Here is a 19,344-nt window from a genome sequence, read left to right on the forward strand (position 1 = left end):
CAATCTTCGTCCTTCCCTGAGACATCCCATACCTCAGCGAGCTCTTCTTGCTGGCTGACTCCCTTCCTGGGCTAATAAAGGGGCGCCTGCTCAACTTCCCCATGCTTCCCACCCACCTTCACTGAGCTTAGCCCCTCTGTGTATAAATATTGTCCTTCTACCTTCATTCTACAAAGCTCAGCATGTCTCCTAGAACTAGCTAATAACACAAATGCGGTGAATAGGATTTTGTGCTTGAGAGTTAGAAGACACGGGTTCAAGTCCTAAAGCTTTCACTCTCTGGGTAACCCTTGGCAAATCACTCCACCTGTCTGGTGTAAGTTTTTATGTCTATCAAATGAAGGGGATGAACTGAAAAGCTCTAGGGCTCCTTGTAGCTCTAATATTCTGTGATTTTTATGATGAAAACTACCAACACGTAAGTGCAGACAGCTTATTTTTCTACAGATAGCCTAAGTCCCAGTGATCATTTGTTTCTCCTAGGGGAGGCTTAACACTTCTGAATCTCTGTTTGGCTTCTTCATTACACAGGTCTGTCTCACCCTAGCCCTCTACTTTGATAAGGCAGACTGCAAGTGGCAATAGTGGAAGGCAGACAAACAGTTCTTCAGGAAGGTTGACATGGATGATCAATACTATCCTTGTAAAAATGCCAGCAAGTTTGAACACTTCTTTAAAAAACATCTTCCTTCAGAAAATTGTCTTTTGAAACACCATGACCTGATTTTCAGGGAAGGACTGATTACAAAGCCTGGGGTTTCTTGCCAAGGCAGTGAGTTTTTGACTCCCACTGGATGATTAAAGACTAAGGGAAAAGCAAAACAACAAGTGCCTCACATCCCTACTGATTGCATCATGCTGGGTTGAGATCCATGGAAACTGAACTGCTATCTAGACAACAGGCTGGCCAATCAGCACGCACGTGGGATCAGCTGACCATGGGGACCCTGATTTCATAAAAACACCACTTGGCACCTGGCAACACAAGTGCCCCCTGTTCTGAGCCATTCCAGTGTGTCTGGATCTGCTCTAGTTCTACGTATGAGGACTAACTCTCTAGGAGTGGGACTGGCTTGGTCTCAACTCTATTTACTCGCTGAGACAACAAAGACCCTCCGGACTTTGGAGACTGAAAACATGGGTCATATCATCTTCTCTGGGCCATTTTGAAGTTCATCTGTAAATCACTGTCTAATTTTATTCTAACAAAAACATTGAAATTAGCCATTATTGGCCCCGTTTTACATATGAGGAAATTTAAGCCACTTGTCCAATGTCATTGGACTAGGGCAGAGCAGAATTAGTTTTCATTGCACATCTTAGGCATCTTAGCCTCAAGTTACACTAAAGAAAGCTTCCAGGGACTGCAGTCTCCCCTTCCCCTGACCCCTAAATATTAGAAAATTTAGGGTACATAAAGTTTATCATTCAGGCTGGCCTCCGTGGGCCCCTCAGTTCCCCTTATCTGTTAGTGAGCAGGAAAGAGGCCCATTGGGTACCCCTGGGGGGCGCCAAACCATCAGGTCCTGTGGGCTTTGCACAAGAAACAAAACACATGGTAAAAGCACTTCCTCTGACCCTTCTTCAAAACAAAGGAAGTGATAAAGTTGGAAAGACTTGGCTTTGAGTGGCCCTGAGCATGAGGCAGAAGCACACCTGGAAGTGGTTTCTGGGGAAGGAGTTCAGGGAAGAAGAAAGAGTGGAGAGTGAATTTTTTGTGTGTGTTGTCAGGGGACATCATTTTGTTCCAGAGTCTAGCACTGGCCTAGTGCATAGTAAGGAGAATGGGATAAACCAATAAATCAACGTGCAAACACATGTACTGATACTATGGGAGAAGTACCTTGAAAGACACTGTCGGTTTCTCCTCATCCTCAACATGGCTCTATCATTTACTAATATGCTCAAGCACCCTTACCCTCAGACACACACTATAAATTAATTCTTCACTCAACATTGCACTCACCTGGAGCTACCTTTCTCTTCACCATTAATCTTTTGGGAAACAGTAGTTTACATCTCTAGTTTCTTAGCATCACCCACTTCCTCTTTAACCTTATGAAGTATTATTTACTCTATTAGAACAGCACTGAGTCTTATCATTTTTCCATTCCCAGCACTGGGCACATATCTGAAGATAGGGAGGGTTTGTTTGTTTGCTTTGAGACAGGGTCTTGCTCTGTCACCCAGGCTGGAGTGCAGTGGCACAATCCCGGCTCACTGCAGCCTTGACCTCCTAAGCTTAAGCAATCCCCCTGCCTCAGCTTCCTGAGTAGCTGGGACTACAGGCATGCACCAACATGCCCAGCTAAATTTTGTATTTTTAGTGGAAACAGGGTTTTTCCATGTTGTGTAGGCTGGTCTCAAACTCCTAGGCTCAAGCAATCCCCCTGCCTTGGCCTCCCAAATGCTGGGATTACAGGCATAAGCCACCTCACCCAGCTAAGAGAGAGTCCTTGCTTTGACAGTTCCTACATTTTCTAAGTGTGTTCCTCCTGCCCCACACAGGAACTAGACACCCCTTTGTAATTTCCTCTATATTGTTGCATCCGGATAGGACTAGAAAGCATTTTCTTTTTCGCATGAAGCCAGCTGTCTCCCTGCCCCATTCCTCCACCTGAACTAATTTGTTAGCTTATGGGAGACGCATTATCACAGGTATTAGGGAAATGCTAGCTAGAAAAACTGGAAGGTCTACTAGGGACTGACATTGTGACCACAGTGCTATTTTAAGCCACTGGAGTACAATGGTGGTATCTGTAGGAACTGAAACTATTTGTTCAAAGGAAAAAAGCATTTAGTGACTGTTCTATTTGTATATTCTATGACTTGTGAACATTAAACCAAAGAAAACAAGGTTAAGGAACACTGTTGCCCTGCTAGACATCCTCTACCTTGCTTAGACCACCAAATTGTAAAAACCACACATACTTTGCATTCATTCTTGAACCCTCCACAGTTTGTGTCGAAGGTTCTCAGCTTAGCGAATCAAATCCAAAGCAATCGCCAATCAATTATTTACTAAGTGATAGCTTTTTCCAGAGAATCCTATTTTCTATCCCGAGGCCTAGCAAGGCAAAGGAAGCATGACCTTCCTAAGAGGGAGATTTGAAACTCCTCTCAAAGGAAAAACCTGCTGATTAAAATAAAGTCCAAAATCTTATTCCAGTGGAAAAGCATTTAGCTAAATGACTTAGATAGAGGCCTGAAGCATGAGTACTTTCTTTGTCATGTATGGATTCATTGTCACCCTCTGCTTGGCTTAGCTGGAGGGTGAGATGACCTCCACAATTTAGGAAGGGCAAAATTCTTCAATATCAGACCAAACCCAATACAGGTTTGCCGAAAGCAGGAGTTTCTTCTTTTCCCACACCTCTGAAACAATGACTCATATCTGGAGACACCAAGGGGTAGCTTCTGGGAGAGGCATTATAGCAATTTCTGTTAACCCCCAGCCTCTAAAATCTGCTCTGAATAAGCATATAAGCCAAATACAGCATGCTGGCCATGTAACTGTAGTTTCAAGTTTCCTAATTTTATCTAACAAACAGGTTGCCACTTCTAAAACTCTCTTACACAGAAATTCCAGAGGGTCTCACTGCTTTAGAGGTAGCAAAAAAAAATCATGTCCAAAAATCCGTAGTGTTGTAGAATAGATCCAAAAGAAATTTTAGACGTCACTGATGTTAGCCCCTACTTTTATGGTGATGATTCTAACCTAGAACCTATTTGGTTCACTAACCTGGAGAGGGCACCAAAAGGAAGTTGATCATTTGTCTTACCTTCTGCCAGTTTTTTTTCATAAGTAGTACTGTGTAGTCTTAAGTGAACAATCTCTGTGTTAGAGTGCCAGGATTTGAAGCTCCTCCCTTCTGCTAATTATGTAACCCCTGTAATAAAGTGAAATAATAAAATGAGTTAGTTGTTTAAGCACACTGTTGAGTGCTTAAAAATGTCTGGTATACAGTGAATGCTCATAGGATACTAGCTAATTGATCCCTCAAAGGGCTGTTTCTAGGATTACGAGATGACACCTACCAAAGTTTCAGCATAGTACCTGGCATATCATGCTCAATGAATGTGTTCTTACAGCCTTACAGCAAGGGTGGGAGATAGCTTGCTAGAGCTCAGGCCATTTATTGATTAGGGAGGCTGTAGTACTGAAGACTTTTATTTCAAAGTGAGGATATTTTGATATTTGGAAGTACTCTTGTAATTTAGCTAATATTGAACATAGAATGATTAACAGAAAAGCTTTGAACTACTGCTTTCTTTCTAAAGCATGTTTAAGGGAATTCCACAATATCTGTTATCCACGCTTTTGCTTAGTTGGGGAATCTGGACCAGAACTATCTCTTTGGCCACATTTGTTAGAAATTATTACTATTTAAGAAGGATTGAAATATTCCTACCAGAGCCCAGAGTTTGGCTTTTAGTGCTCAATGAATATCTTTATGTTTAGTAAACTCCATATAACTCCCAAACACAGTGAGAGGCTCACATTCCACTGTCTCCCCCTGGGTGTTGTTTAAGTATGTAGTGGACTGACTGAGGTTGAGCTGACAGTTCAAAACAAGGTTTTGGAGCTCAGAGCAGGGCAAACAAGGCCAGAAGTGCCTTCCTGATGGGACTTCTCTTTTGGTGGGCTTCATGATACACAGGCCATTTAAATGTCATGCTTATAGCTATCAGTCTCAGTGAAAAGAAAGCTCCTCTCTCAAGATTCCAGTAAAATTCCCATAACCCAGTTTCATTGGCCTGGCGTAGTCATGTGTCCATCCCTAATCCATGTGTCTGTGACCAGGCTGGGGTCAGAGTTTGGATAAATTACTCTGGCCAGATTGAGTCATGTCCTCACCCTTGAATCTGGAAGCATCAGTTAGTCCCATCCAAACCACATGAACAGAAGGAGGAGGAAGGAGGATACCCCAAGCAAAATCTGGGTACTATTACCAAAAGAAAGGGCTGCGAATACTGAATAGGTAAAATTAACAGCTACCCACTCCACCTGACTCTATCACTACTCACTCTAGGATCATGAATGAGCCATTGATCTTTTTGGGATGTAGTTTTGTCATCTATAAGATGAGAGATTTGGGCTAATAAGATCAGGGCTTCTCAAATTTTAAAATGTCTTAGAACCCTCTGAAGGCCTTGCTAAAACAGTTTCTTAGACCCCGCCCCCAGAGATTCTGATTCAGTAGGTCTGGAGTGGGGCCCAAGGATTTGGCTTTCTATCAAGTACCCAGATGATATTGCTGCTGCTGACACACGGACCACACTTAGAATAACACTGAGCAGCTACTGGCACACAATAATGCTTTGAGCAATTAAAAGTCTTCATTCTGAAGCTCAAGCTAGAGATTCTGCTTCTGTCCCCACTGTAAGAAGAGCAACATAAACCCCTGACAGAAACACAAGAATGGCAGCTGTGAATTCTCAACTCAGGCCCCATCACTGGAGATACTAAGTCATATCCATGACTCTAGTAGTTACTCATTTGAGGTAGGTCACAATGGCTAGATTGGGTGAGGCTGGACTAGGAAAGTCCTCTGACTTCTCAATTCTAGAGCTCCTGGGGACTCTGTCTTCCTGATTCATGCTTGTCCTCATTCAAATCTCTGCCGAGGCAGCTCTGAGGATATGAAGGTTCCACAGGGAAGCAGAGGGCTTTTTGGTTAAGAACACAGACTTTGGTGACAGGTAGACCTGGACTCTACTGCTTATTCGTTCACTCACTAAAGACTGTGTAACCTTAGGCCAGGCATGGTGACTCACGCCTGTAATCCCAGCACTTTGGGAGGCCGAGGCGGGTGGATCAACTGGGCTTGGGAGTTCAAGACCAGCCTGACCAACATGAAGAAACCCCGTCTCTACTAAAAATACAAAACTAGCTGGGCGTGGTGGTGGGTGCCTGTAATCCCAGCTACTTGGGAGGCTGAGGCAGGAGAAATGCTTGAACCTGGGAGGTGGAGGTTGCAGTGAGCCAAGATTGCGCCATTGCACTCCAGCCTGGGCAACAAGAGCGAAACTCCATCTCAAAAACAAAAACAAACAAACAAACAAAAAACACAAAAAAACACTGTATAACTTTGAGCAGATTACTTAATCTCTCTGTCCCTTAGTTGCAAAATTGGGTGTATTTAGAATGTGCCTCATGGAGTTATTGTAGAGATTAAAATAAAGGAGGTTATGCATAGGTGAAGGATTTATCACAGTACTTGGCACAGATAAACTCAATCAATGCTATTAACACTGTAAGTTTAGGTCCAGGATGCCCCTGCACACTACACAGCTGAACATCATTTAACAAGGTGTACTAGCATCCATCCCTGATTATTAACAGCTTCTCAGTTAGGAATGCCCTGTTCCTCTGCTCTGACATCTGTGTTTTCTCAAGGTATCTGGGTATGTTCTGGGGTCAAATGTGTTTGTAAAATGCTGGGTAAATGGATGTTTTCTTGACTGTAGGACTTTTTAGAGTCTTTACTGTGGTAATTCAAATTAAGAATCTCCAAAAGGGCTATTTGGTATTTGGTGGTTCCCAAACCTCGTGGACCATGGAACCCTTTTGTACACATGTTAACATTTTTTGACATTCTGCATGCAAAATGCAGACTTGGAAACTCTGCCCTGGAGCAAAACTCTATCCAAAAGTCTCCAGTATGCTGATGAACAGGCATATTCAGAGATGTCCTACAGGTCCTGTGAATCAATACTGTGACTATGGAGATAAGTAATACGTCATGTTTAGCTAGGTAGTAGTTGCCATACATTCTAATGGATGAGGATGGAGGATAAAAGCTATATTTTGGCAATAATTTAGAAAATCATTTTCAACTAGAAGAGATAAACGTTTTGAAATTGAGGTGCTCATGTTCTAGTCTGTGCTCTGTTGTGATTCAAGGAGAGGGGTAGGAGTTGGGGAAGTAGTGTGTGAATGTCCTGTTCTCAATAGAAGGAGAGCGTGGAAGAGTGTTAGTGGGAACAGGTAACACTTTATGTAAGAGTAGGGGAGGGCAGCAGTACCTCAGGCGGGCTTGGGCTCAGGTAACAGCTCTCATTGCTGATACCTGTTGTGGGTACTTGCGGCATTACCAGGAGGTTTTTATGCCCTACAAAATAATTTTAGAGCGTTCTAGGTCAACAGCCAACCTTAAGTGTGGTGAAGATTATACCAGATTTATCTGTCACAAAAATGTGATCCTGGTGATTAAATCAGGAGAGAAAGTGGCTGCCCTTCTTAGAATAGCACCTAATGCAACTGGGATCTCTGAAAAATGAAACGTAGCTGATGCTTGGGCCAGTTACTCTGATTTGAAGAGTCTCTAGCTCAGCGAAGCTGCTATGTCAGCATACCTTCGTGAGATTATATGTGATTTGCTGAACTCTCTCAATAATATAAAATCAATTAAATTAAAACAACTGATACCACCATCACAACTTTTTGTTCCATACTTCATAGGTCTGGCTGTCTTACATAATTAGGAGGAGCTGAACTTTAAGGAGACCTTGAGTATGGGAAACAGGCTGCTGGTGTTGAGGTGCTCATCATTAAAAAATAAACAAGTTGGTCTTACTGCCAGCAGCAAGACTGTGACTCCCCCGCCTCTCCCTGCTTCTCAGGCTCAACCAGCTCAAACCAGCTGGCCTGTGTCATCTCTCTATTAGCGTAGGGCTTGAAAGCTCCACCACAGATGGACTCAAGATTGGGGGATCTGCCACTTATATTTGCTGAAATGCATTACGCACATTTTTGAGAGTGTGGCACATGAGGTTGCTGCCTTTTAATTGCAAGGAGTGGCAAGGGTTTTTAAGGCAGCTGGCATGTCTCATGGGAGCCTCTGCCAAGGGAGCCTCCTACAGCAAACTTCATTTACCCCAAGGCTGAGGCGACTCATGTGGCTCTTTATTAAGTCATTCTTTCAGCTGCCCCCTTCTCTCTGTGTCTGGCTTTCCTCAGGCTCTTAGATGTACTCAAAAGCCTGCCAATGCTAAACTGGGCTGGGCATAGACTGACTTGCCTCCCTTCTGCAGCAGGGGCTGTTGGTAACTGGATCAGCGTGGCAGGTTGTCCTCACAGCTGGGGAAATCTTCAGCTCTCCTGCACCCAGTGTGCTGACGGCAGGTTCAGCTCAATGCATTCTCATTTCATTTCTGTGTGTCACTAAATGAGAGTCTTAAAAGTTGCTGCCATGGGGCTTATAGCAGAAGAAGGGGTGAGGGCAGGAGAGCATACAAATACTGGGATGGTGGGGAGAAAAGCGGCAGCCCTGCTCTTCTGTATTACGGCAGGATTTGCCAGAGACAAACCAGAGAGAAGGTGGGAACTCGCCATTTCAGATGAGGGCTTAAGGTGACAGAGTTGGTTAAGAATGACATTGGCATGAATAAGGCCCTGGGTCTGCTGAGTGCTCTGCCTCCCTCACTGTTCAATACCCATGTTCAGCTCCTCTTTCCACCGGCTAGCATGTAATTGGAATCAGGAATCTGTGAGCTCAGCGGCCCACTGAGGAGCCCACAGGTCCTTCCCTCAAAGTGTCTACTCTGAATAAAGGACCCAGCACTGACCAACTGGTGTCAGTGGACAAATGCACAGAGCACAACTGTGACAACGTTGAGATACTGCAGCAGCGCTGCGGTTATATACCATAGCACTGAAGATGCATTGGTGATTCCTAAACCAAAAGACAGTCCTGAACTGCAACTGCCTATTCCATATAATACTCACTGTGTCTGAATATTTGTTACTTGATCCCTATCTGTAAGCTTGTCCACCTCTTCTCCTTTCTGGGGACAAGAATTTACATGTAGTGGAAACCACCAATAAGATGTATCGGCAGGAAGGCTGTCCATGGGATCTCACTGAGACCAGAATGAGTGTCGTACTTATCTTTGGGCTCCATGTGTTAAGGGTAGCAATTGGATTCTAGGGGACTAAAAAATATTTGTTAAGTGGCATCAGATCACCATTATCTTTCATCTGTGTAGCACCTTTCTACTTTTATAAATCAGCTTTGTTGTTGTTGTTAGAGATAGGATCTTGCCCTGTCGCCCCAGGCTGGAGTGCAGTGGCACGATCATAGCTCACCACAGCCTACAACTCCTGGGCCCAAGTGATCTTCCCACCTCAGCCTCCAGAGTAGCTGGGACTACAGGCACACACCATCGTGCCTGGTTAATTTTTTAATTTTTTTTTTGGTAGAGATGAGAGCCTCACTATGTTGCCCAGGCTTGTCTCAGTCTCAAACTCCAGACTCAAATGATTCTCCCACCTTGGCCTCCCAAAGTGCTGGGATTACAGGCGTGAACCACTGTGCCCAGCCAAAGACACAGCTTTATATGTTTATTCTTACTGGAAGCCTTTGTTGTAGCACAAATATTTTTCAGTTCTTCAAATGTGACACCAAGGCACAGATGGGTTAAGTGACTTGCCCAGGATGACAGAGCAAGTGTGCGTCAGGGTTGGCACTCAAGCCAGCTATCAAGACCGGCTAGGGGGACACTTTGGGAATGGACGAGAATCACCTACATCTGCATCCTTACCTTATTTATAAGTCTTTAAATGTGTATTTATCTGACATAAATGATAAAATATTGAGTTTTTTTCAGTTGTAAAGTAAAAGTGAAAATACATATTGAGGCCGGGCATGGTGGCTCATGCCTGTAATCCCAGCACTTTGGGAGGCTGAGGAGGGCAGATCACTTGAGGTCAGGAGTTCGAGACCAGCCTGTCCAGCACAGTGAAAACCTGTCTCTACTAAAAATACAAAAATTAGCTGGTTGTGATGATGTGTGCCTGTAATCCCAGCTACTCAGGAGGCTGAGGCATGAAAATCGCTTGAACCTGGGAGGCTGAGGTTGTAGTGAGCTGAGATCATGCAGTGGCGTTCCATCCCAGGCAACAGAGCAAGACTCCATCTCAAAAACATAACAAATAAAAGTAAATAAATAAAATACATAATGATAAGGATCCCTGTAGCTTATGGATGAATAAATGTCTGGTTAACACTCATGCTAAGAGTTTTTTTCTTTAAGCTGGTGAGTAATAGTAAAGCATCGGACACCACCATAAAGCACAAAGCTCCATCAGAAAAAAAAAAATCAATTTTGTTAATAATAAAAAATAAAAATAATGACTGAGTAATTGGGGATTATTTACCATAGAAGCAGTTTCTTTTGCTAGGAAAGTAAACATTTTCACTTCTTAGTACTTATCTACCAGCAGGGGACTGTCACATCAGATAGTGCCTGGTTCAATTAACAGCACCCCTTAATTATTTCTAACATCTATTAACAACATAATCGAGTGAATCCATGGCCACAGTGCTTAATTTTGTACCTCCACTGCTATGCTTACAATGGCAGTTTTGCTTTCAAAGAGTAAATTATTAACACCCGAATCTCAAACTGTACCAAGTATTATTTTTGTTACTATAAATCATTCTCTAAAAGCTATTTCTTGTTCTCTAGATCATGGATTCTCAACAGGGCCAGTACTGCTTTCAAGGGGGTGAAAATTGATCAAGGGCTGTAGGGTGGAGGGAATTGACAAAATCTTACCCTTTTTATGTATAAAGTACAGATATACCTACAGCACATAAACACATACACAGTATATCTGTGGTATTAACATTTCATGGGGTGGCGATTGGGAAAAAACGTATCTTAAAAGGATCCTGGAAAGGCTGTGGTGATGGAGGGTGTGGCAATAATGAAAACAGGTTTAAGTAACACTGCCCTACACCTATGCATCTCAAATCTGGCCTACTCATTGGAATCACCTTGAGGGTTTTGAAAAAATACAGATACCTGGGCCACTCCCAGAGTTTCTGATGTAGTTGGTTTGGGTGGTGCCTGGACTTGGTATATGTAAAACCTCCCCAGATGAGTCCCCTTTGGGGTAGCCAAATTTGAGAACCACCGCTCTAGATTGCAGATGACAGAACTATTCACCCACACCACAGCAGATGTGACTAAACTGTCATGACAGTCTTTCCTAAACCCAGATGTGACTTTGGAATTTTTTTCCATACATTATTGCAAATTGGAATTCACATGTGAAATGAAACCAATTTGCCATTCCTGTTCTAGATGGTCCCCTGGGCTAGAACAGAACCCAAAACCATATCCCAATGTTTTAGCACCTAGAAGGTTCTCATTAAGTGTCATTATGCCTTACATTTCCTCATTATTCTTTTATTGATCAAGGAGGAGAACACAGAACAAAAATTGGTGGCTAGTGAGCAGAGAGTAAGAAGTTTGCTGAATGCCTAAATATAGTGGTGCAAAGGTGTGTTTGGTCATACCTGGGTCGGGCTGGCTGATATTCTGTTTTCATTATATGTTCATTACACATGAACAGACAAATCTACCAGGCAAAAAAACAAAAACAAAAAAACCCACAAAAGTTTTCATTTCATGACAGGCCCTTTTTGAAGGATATTTGTTCAGCTTCATGCTAGCATCTATGGTTAAGGTGTATGTCACCCAACAGGCATGAAGCAAATAGTTATTTTCCAAGAGCAGGGATTAATGTCAAGTTTTAGTGAAGTTAGGCAGATCTTCAAGTGGAAAGTCAAATGAAATAGTTTCAAGAGTAAGAGTTCCTAATTAGCGCCCAAAGTTTTAAGAAATGATACCTGCTGAGGTAAATATAGATTAAACAACAAATGTATTTGTAAGAAAATTTGAACACAATTTTCCTTGAATTTGGTGGTTGAATAAAACATGAAATTTGATCTATTTATTTTGATCATTTAAGTTGAACTGTTAATATACACACATGTATGTGTGTTTGCGTGTGTGTGTGAGAGAGAGAGAGAGAGAAAGAGAAAGAGAGAAATAGTAATTAGTTTTTGGAGACAAATGTCCAATACAAATATGGAAAGCTGCACACCTCCTCAGTTTTCTGGTAATCGTAATAAAAACAAAGTCACCAGATGGGCAAAAGCTAAAAAGATGAAAATATCAAGTTTGGAGAGGATGTAGAATAACAGAATCTCTCATACTCTCTGTTAGGGCAAGTGGGGCTGTAAATTGGATCAACTACTTTGGAAAAACAGTTTGGCATTGTCTAGTAAAAGTGAAGATGTACATAACCCTATACCCCAGCAATTGTACTCCTAGAGATTTCCCCTGGACAAATTTGATTTCATATATCAGGAGACATAAATAAAAATGCTCATAGCAACACTGTTTGTAATATTCCCAGTGGCAACAATGCAAATGTTTGTCAGGTATGTAATTAATAAATAACTGTGATATGTTTACAAATGGACTATCATACAGCAATAACATGGATAACCTACTTCTATACATAATAACATGGATGACTCCCACAAATGTAATGTTGAGTAAAGACACAAAATCCTCCTTCCTTTCACACAAATGTTAAAACAGATGAAACTAAGCAACATGTGTAGGGATACATACATCAGTGATAAAACTGTAAAGCAAAGCAAGGAAATGATGGTCAAGAATGTTAGCAGAGTAGTTAGGGAAGAGCAAGGTGGTTTTATCATTAAGGAGAGGAATGCAGTGGGTTAGAGAGGGCACCCGGGCTACTGATAATATTCATTTCCCAACCCTGGTAGTAAACACATACGTAACGTTCACTTTATAGTTGTTTGTAATACACTTTAATGAAGTTTTCTGGATGTATATTTCACAAAAAAAATTGATTTCTAAACTTGCTATTTTCTGTATGACTTGTGTATTAATGTATTAATTGAAGTTAAGCAAGAACAAAAAATATTTTCTGAAGCCTGTAAAATGGAGAGAAATGCTCAAGAATATGTTTTGGAAGGTACCAGCAACAGGGCAGCTCCAGGGTTCACAACCCTTGGAACCCTGTCCTTAGGGTGTAGTTACGGGATAATTTGTTCAACCTCTTATATCCTGGGTCTCTCTATTGAAAATCCCAGTTCCTGGAAGAGAGAATAGGATTGGCCTGGTCATATTCCCTATTGGTCACATGTCCTGATTTACCAGAGCCATGTGGAGTCAGAGAGGGGTCATTCTTCAAAGGCCAGGGAATGAGAGGGAAGGAAGACTGCATGGATGAAAATAACCTCCAATCTGGACACTGTCAAAGCCAACAGACAGAAAACACCAAGATCCAAGAAGGCATGCAGGTAAGAAACACTGACAAAGCCAAGATTGTTCTTGAAGAATTCATCCCACAGAAGGGCAGCAGTTCACTTGCTGCATTCTGTTGACCTTTGGATTCCAGGACTGGAGTACATAACTAATGTAAAAGAGTGAACAATGACATATGGATGACACTCTTCCCACGGTGCCTTAACTCGCCATATTCCCTCTGTCTGGGAAATGTGTGCCAACCCCAAATGTCACTCTGATCATCTCTCCTGTTCAGAAAACTAGACTTTGATCATCCTTTATGATCTCTTCTCTTGTGAACTTTATGGTGGTCAAAGTCACAGCAAGGTCGATTAAGAAAGGCCAAGAATCAGTGCTCCTGTTTGCTGGGACCAGGAGGCAGAGGACTAGCCTGTCATTCACAGGTCTTCTTTAGGGGAGGGGGCAGGGCTTGTAAATTGGGGAAGTGGGTGGGGTGGTGGGAAGCAGGAAATATTGCCAGGCCGGCAGGAATCCTGACCCTCTTGGTAACTCATCCTGTACCAAGCAACCAAGATAATTTTTTAAAGTACAGACTTGTGTGTGGAAATATATCCTTCCCACAGCTCAACCTCAGCTTTGAAATGATTCTCAACAGAAACACACACAGGTAAACAGTAACTTTCTGAAGCACAATGAGTGGCCTCTGCTACAGAGACCAGTTTGGAGACTGCCACATAATACAATTTAAATTAAGCATGAGTATCTTTTTTTTTTTTTTTTTGAGACAGAGTCTTGCTCTGTCACCCAGACTGGAGTGCAGTGGCGCGATCTCGGCTCACTGCAACCTCCACCTCGCGGGTTCACACCATTCTCCTGCCTCAGCCTCCCAGGTAGCTGGGACTACAGGTGCATGCCACCACGCCCCGCTAATTTTTGTATTTTTAGTAGAGATGGGGTTTCGCCATGTTGGCCAGGCTGGTCTCGAACTGCTGACCTCAGGTGATCCACCCGCCTCTGCCTTCCAAAGTGCTGGGATTACAGGTGTGAGCCACCGCACCAGGCCGCATGAATATCTTTATTCATGAGCCTGGATCCCTAAGAATGAGGGTGCCTCTGACTATTCTTAATTCGTTCAGCAGTCACATTCATCGCACAACACCCAAAGACATATTTGGTCTGCAGTTCGCACCTATTCCTCTGGAGCTTTGAACAGTTAATAAACATTAGCTCGTTAGCATTAATTAAAAGGCATCTTATTACAGCAGGATCCAGAGTTACCACCTAGCCACTCTAAAAACCAGCGGTCGGCTTGACTTCCAGCAAAGCCTCTTTTATCGATGGCTTCTGTGGGTGTAGTTAACCTCCGCCGTCCCCCGTCTGATCTCATTATTTCAGATCCTCGCATCCTGGCTGGCTTTGCCTTCTCTCTCTCCTCGATCCTCCCTTTACATAAATGCGATTGTTTCGTTGCTTCCTTCCTCGGAGCCCGGGTTTTGTCCGGGCTTGGCTCGGTTTGCGCGTTTAAGAACGAGCGCCTAGGCCTCCGGGCAAGGGTCTAGAGCTCCCGCAGCCCTTCACTGGGTGACCTCCTCCTGTCGGGGCCATTTGTCTTCAGGGCCTCTCTTTGAGGCTCTGAACAGGACGCTCCAAGTGGGGCCCGAGCGCTTGGCAGACAAGCCCCTGGATTGTTGCTAGAGACCCTCAGGTCGCCTTGGGGCGGAGCGCGCCTTTCATGAATCCGGGAGCCTGGGATGCGCATGGCGAGGAGGGGGGAAACGTGCTGGGGAGAAGGCAGGCCTTGATGTACGCCCTGGTGGACAAAAGCTGCTAGTGTCAGCTTGATTTGCAAGATCAACATTCATGAGTTTCACCGCTTAGAAAGGGGCATTATCTGCAAACCGGAGACTGAATGGAAGCCATAAACAAGTGATTTCACACTACCAAGCAGGAAGAATATTCTACCTCCTCAATTATTCTGAACAGCATGTTTGGCCCCTTCCAGGTTCCCACCGCTAGCGAGCCCTCCACCCCTGGTGTGTGCAAACGGTGGACCTTTCGGCGCCTAAGAAACCGGGTGCTGAGCCCGGGAGCAGCGCCTGCTTTTCTTCCCAAGATCCACTCCGGGTTTTGCCTAGCGCTGCTCCGGGAACCCATTCCAGACGCAGGTAACGCCAGGCAACGTTTTCCTTCTCACCCGCCCAAGGCCAGCCCCGAGCCGCCGGGGTTCCAGGCCCAACACAGCACAGATGCACGTTTCAAAATGTGCTCGAATATGCAGCCTGCATCAAAGGCGTTGGGAGGCTCTTTCATCCTCTCAGCTGCCTAAGAAGGGACATGCTCCCAGCTACCCTCATTTGTGGCTGGGTTTACTCTGAAATGAAGATGTACCTCTGGATGCAAAAAGAAAGGGTGGAAGGTTTTTTTCCCCCTACTTCTTGCACCCGATTTCTCATTTTGCCTCGCCCTCATCCTCATCCTTTGTGTATGCCAGGCTGTGTTAACCCTTTGAGAACCCCCGTGGCTTGCTCTTTTCTTTCTTCCTTACGGTTGTCATCCGGTTTGTAGCCTGACTTCTTCGGCCTGTCACGTACCCCTTTCCTTTTCCTGGAAGTGGTTTTGTTGTAGGACAGCCACAGGTGGACGGCTGGACCTTACCAAGCTTTGAAGGGCGAGGACCGGGCGAAGGCAAAACCTGGGAAGGCTCTGGCTGCCGCCAGAGGACCGGGCGGAGCAACCACAGTCACTGTGGTTATCATGTCCAGCCTCCTGGGACCTCCACTTAGCTTGGCTGTCACCCTGACCCCCGCCCGCACCTCCCCAGCTGCTGATCTCGGGGAGGCAGCCCTCCCTGAGGTGCTGAGGGCAGGACCCTGGCGAGCAGAAGTGAAGGGTTTAAGAGCCATCTCCCTACTAGAATGGTGCCCTGATGTTTAATGGCAAATTACCCAGCAAGCACCTATTTTTAAAACTTTCACCCCTTTTCCTTGGGAACCCCCCACTGTTATGGAAAATTTAAGCCTTTAAAGAAAACACGTGTGAGTGTGTGTATGTGTGTGTGTGCGCGCGCATGAGCATGAGAGAGAGAGAGAGAGAAAGAGATAGCTGTCGAGGTAAGTTGAGAGATGGAGGGGAGGGGAAGGATTTCAGCATCATGACGTAGTATAGGAGGAAGCTTTGTTCCTGGAGGATTGATTTTGTGAGGGAGGGCAGAACCAGACAACAAGGAACATTTAGATAATACGTCTGTACTCCGTAAAGGTGAGGGTCTACAACAGTCATCTAAGGCAGTGACAGACATGGGTCTGCACACTGAAACCGCAGGGTGTCAACAAGGCACAGAAAAGAATGCAATGTAGGGCGCAGTCCTTTGGCTGGGCTAGGCGTGAAGCATTCCTGAGAAAGGTCTACACTATGAAGCCAGCTCACTGTAGACTTGGGACTCACTGATCAGCCTTGGCTCTCTGTGGAGACTCAGGTGTTTGCTAAATGAACATAAGATACTGCAGAGAAGGCTGCTAGTCTCCAAAGCTCATGGAAAGCGTTTCTTCCTGACCAACTGCAAAAGAGTGGATGTATACTGTGCTAACCTTTGTGAGGAAAAGGAAAAATGGGAGAAATACATGTACCTGCATATCTTTCAAAAAAATAGAAATATAGGAGGAATAAACCAGTAAAGAATGAAGTGAGATGAAGCAGGTCACCTAACAAGAAGGTGGGAAACAGGGTGGAAGGAATATGAGAGGGAGAAACACTTCTATGGTATAGCTCTTTGTATTATTTTTGATTTTTGGAAGTTTATTAATGTTCTATTTATTTAAAAGATTAAACCAAAAAGTATGGGAAGGGAGAAAAAACTAAAAACCAAACTGAAAAAAATAAACTCAACTGTATTTCAAATGAATAACCACACTGAAAGGGGGAAAAAGAAATCTGAGTAGTTTATGAATACCCATTAGACCATATTCCATTAGACTTAGGTAGCGTGGGAGTCAGGAAGGACTTAAACACTAAACTCTTTTTACTGGGTTTGTTTTTGTACAGCATGGACACAGAAGGATTCTGAAATGATTTTAGATATTTCGTGGTATTGAGCAAATCAGTAAACACATTGTTGTTGAGATCCAGAGTTCTCACTGTGGAGAAGAAAGTTACAAATACAGAAAGAGAGAAGACATGGATGTAAGAAGAATGGACTGCAATTGGAGGTATTGCTGTGGACTCATAATTTCTGAAATGTGTATATATGTGTATGTATTAATGTGATACATATATATGTATATCTATCTCCTGGCTTTGCCCACTGAAGCAGAAATCTTGGTAGCAGTGGCCATACCTAACAGCGACACCTTGCTTTTGAATGTAGTATTCTAACTAAGAGGAATAAGGGATCCTTAGAGAAAAAATGTTTCCAGGGCAGAGGCAGGAAATACGTAAGATAAGCCTGGAACTTTTTTTTTTAATCGAGGTGAAATTCACATAACAAAATCAATCATGTTAAAGTGTATAATCCCGTGGCATTTAGTACATTCCCAGGGTTGTGCAACCACCTCCTCTATTTAGTGAGGGCCTGAAATGTCTTGTTATTCCAGAATGTAAGGAAATGTACAAAACATACTGGGGGCATGTCATGAGGACAGAGGAAGCAGGCTGGAACGGCTTCCCCTGCCCATGTCTGGGACAGTTTGAATACCAAAATAATTATTGGTAGCAACAAAGTATAAAACATTGAAAAAGTGTATAGAATCCATTCTATATACTCATAAGCATAGAAATAAATAAGTAAATGTGTGAGAAGGATGGCTCTTTTTACAGTAGACTACTGTTATAAACAGAATTGTGTCCTCCTAAAATGTGTATGTTAAAGCTGTAACCCCTAATGTGACTGTATTTGGAGATAGGGCCTTTAAGGAGGTAAGCAGGGTTAAATGGGGTCAATAGGGTGGGGCCCACATCCAATAAAACTAGTATCCTTAAAGGAAGAGGAAGAGACACCTGGGGCATGTACACAGAGAAAGACCAGCGAGGACACAGCAAGAAAGCTGTCATCTACAAACCAAAGAGAGAGGTTCAAGAAAAACCTACTCTGCTGGCACCTTGATCTTGGATGTCCAGCCTCTGAACTGTGAGAAAGAAATGTCTGATGCTGAAGGCACCCAGTAGGTGGTATTTAGTTATGGCAGCCTGAGCAGGCTAATACAAATACCTAGTGTCAACTGGTAGATGTAGCAGGAGAGCTGGAGTTGGGGGAAAAAAGTATTATTTTACCACCACTGTGTACTTAAGATTGTTTCTGGCAAGAGTCACCCAATGTTCAATTTAGATAAAATTTTGGTGACGAATGAGCAATTTACATGTTCTTAAAATGTCTCCTCATAGATTGCCTTTTGGTTGCAAGGGGAACAATAATAATTACACAGTGCAGAAATCAGATACCCCTTTGACTAGTGACTGAAATGAACATCACCAATAAAGGACAGACAGACATCATGTGCCTCTGGATACGATGCCCCAAAGAGGAGGTAATACTACTCTTGTACTATTTGACTGGAAATGCATAGCCTGAGTTTAATGATGAGGAAGCGTTATAGAAGCCCCAAACAAGGAACATTCCATCTTACAAACAGGAACTGTTTTTAACATGTCAGTGTCATAAAGAAGAAAAAAATCTAAAGAGATATGTCAACTCACTACGATATATGATTTTAGACTGAATCCTGTACTGAAAAAACATTACTGTGTCTGATAGGCAGCCACTAAAATGGTCCCACTTCCAGATATTTGCCCCTCTGTATAATCATTTCCCTTGAATGTAGGCTGAACTAACGACTTACTGACTTGCTTTTAATGAATAGAAGATGGTAGAAGTAATAGAATGTCACTTCAAAGATAAGGTTACAAAGAAATGCTGGAAGTTTCTACCTGTGGGGCTTGTTCCCTCACTTATTCTAAGGTACTAGCTGCCATGCTGTGAGCAGCCCTATGGAGAGGACCATGTGGTGAAGATATGAGAGAAACTTCTGGTCAACAGCCAGTGAAGTACTGAATCCTGCCAACAACCATGTGAGTGAGCAGGAAAGTGGATCCTCCCCACACTGAGCCTTCAGATGAGACCACAGCCCTAGCCTACACATTGATTATAACCTGGTCAAAGGACCCAGCTAGGCCACATGCATACACCTAACTCACAGAAACTGAGATCATAAATGTTTGCTACTTTCAACTGCTAAGTTTTGAAGTAACTTGTTATGTATCTATAGATAA

General features: G+C 43.4%; 1 long non-coding RNA gene and 1 pseudogene across 2 annotated transcripts in view, besides 2 other annotated features; both read right to left on the bottom strand.

The window, feature by feature from the left end:
- LOC107987043 (uncharacterized) overlaps positions 1-15,821 on the bottom strand; it is a 70,735-nt gene extending 54,914 nt beyond the window's left edge. The window contains exons 1-2 of one of the 2 annotated variants that reach the window (XR_007061395.1): positions 15,629-15,821; positions 3,783-3,890 (exon numbers count right to left, since the gene is read on the bottom strand). This is a non-coding gene — a long non-coding RNA (uncharacterized LOC107987043). The remainder of the gene's footprint in view (positions 1-3,782; positions 3,891-15,628) is intronic. The other variant, XR_001746600.2, reaches the window with a different exon arrangement.
- RN7SL592P (RNA, 7SL, cytoplasmic 592, pseudogene) lies at positions 2,163-2,443 on the bottom strand (annotated as a pseudogene).
- Positions 14,138-16,035: an enhancer, noted in NCBI's record as "VISTA enhancer hs1743". NCBI's record gives its function as "enhancer in: neural tube[4/4] | hindbrain (rhombencephalon)[4/4] | midbrain (mesencephalon)[4/4] | forebrain[4/4] | trigeminal V (ganglion, cranial)[4/4] | cranial nerve[4/4]" and the evidence as "EXISTENCE:transgenic organism evidence [ECO:0001131][PMID:17130149]".
- Positions 14,329-15,203: an enhancer, noted in NCBI's record as "NANOG-H3K27ac-H3K4me1 hESC enhancer chr9:2241127-2242001 (GRCh37/hg19 assembly coordinates)". NCBI's record gives its function as "activates a minimal SCP1, AML or CMV promoter by ChIP-STARR-seq in primed H9 embryonic stem cells {active_cell/tissue: H9 hESC(primed)}" and the evidence as "EXISTENCE:reporter gene assay evidence [ECO:0000049][PMID:30033119]".

This window comes from Homo sapiens, chromosome 9 (assembly GCF_000001405.40).
Source record: "Homo sapiens chromosome 9, GRCh38.p14 Primary Assembly".
Lineage (NCBI taxonomy): Eukaryota > Metazoa > Chordata > Mammalia > Primates > Hominidae > Homo > Homo sapiens.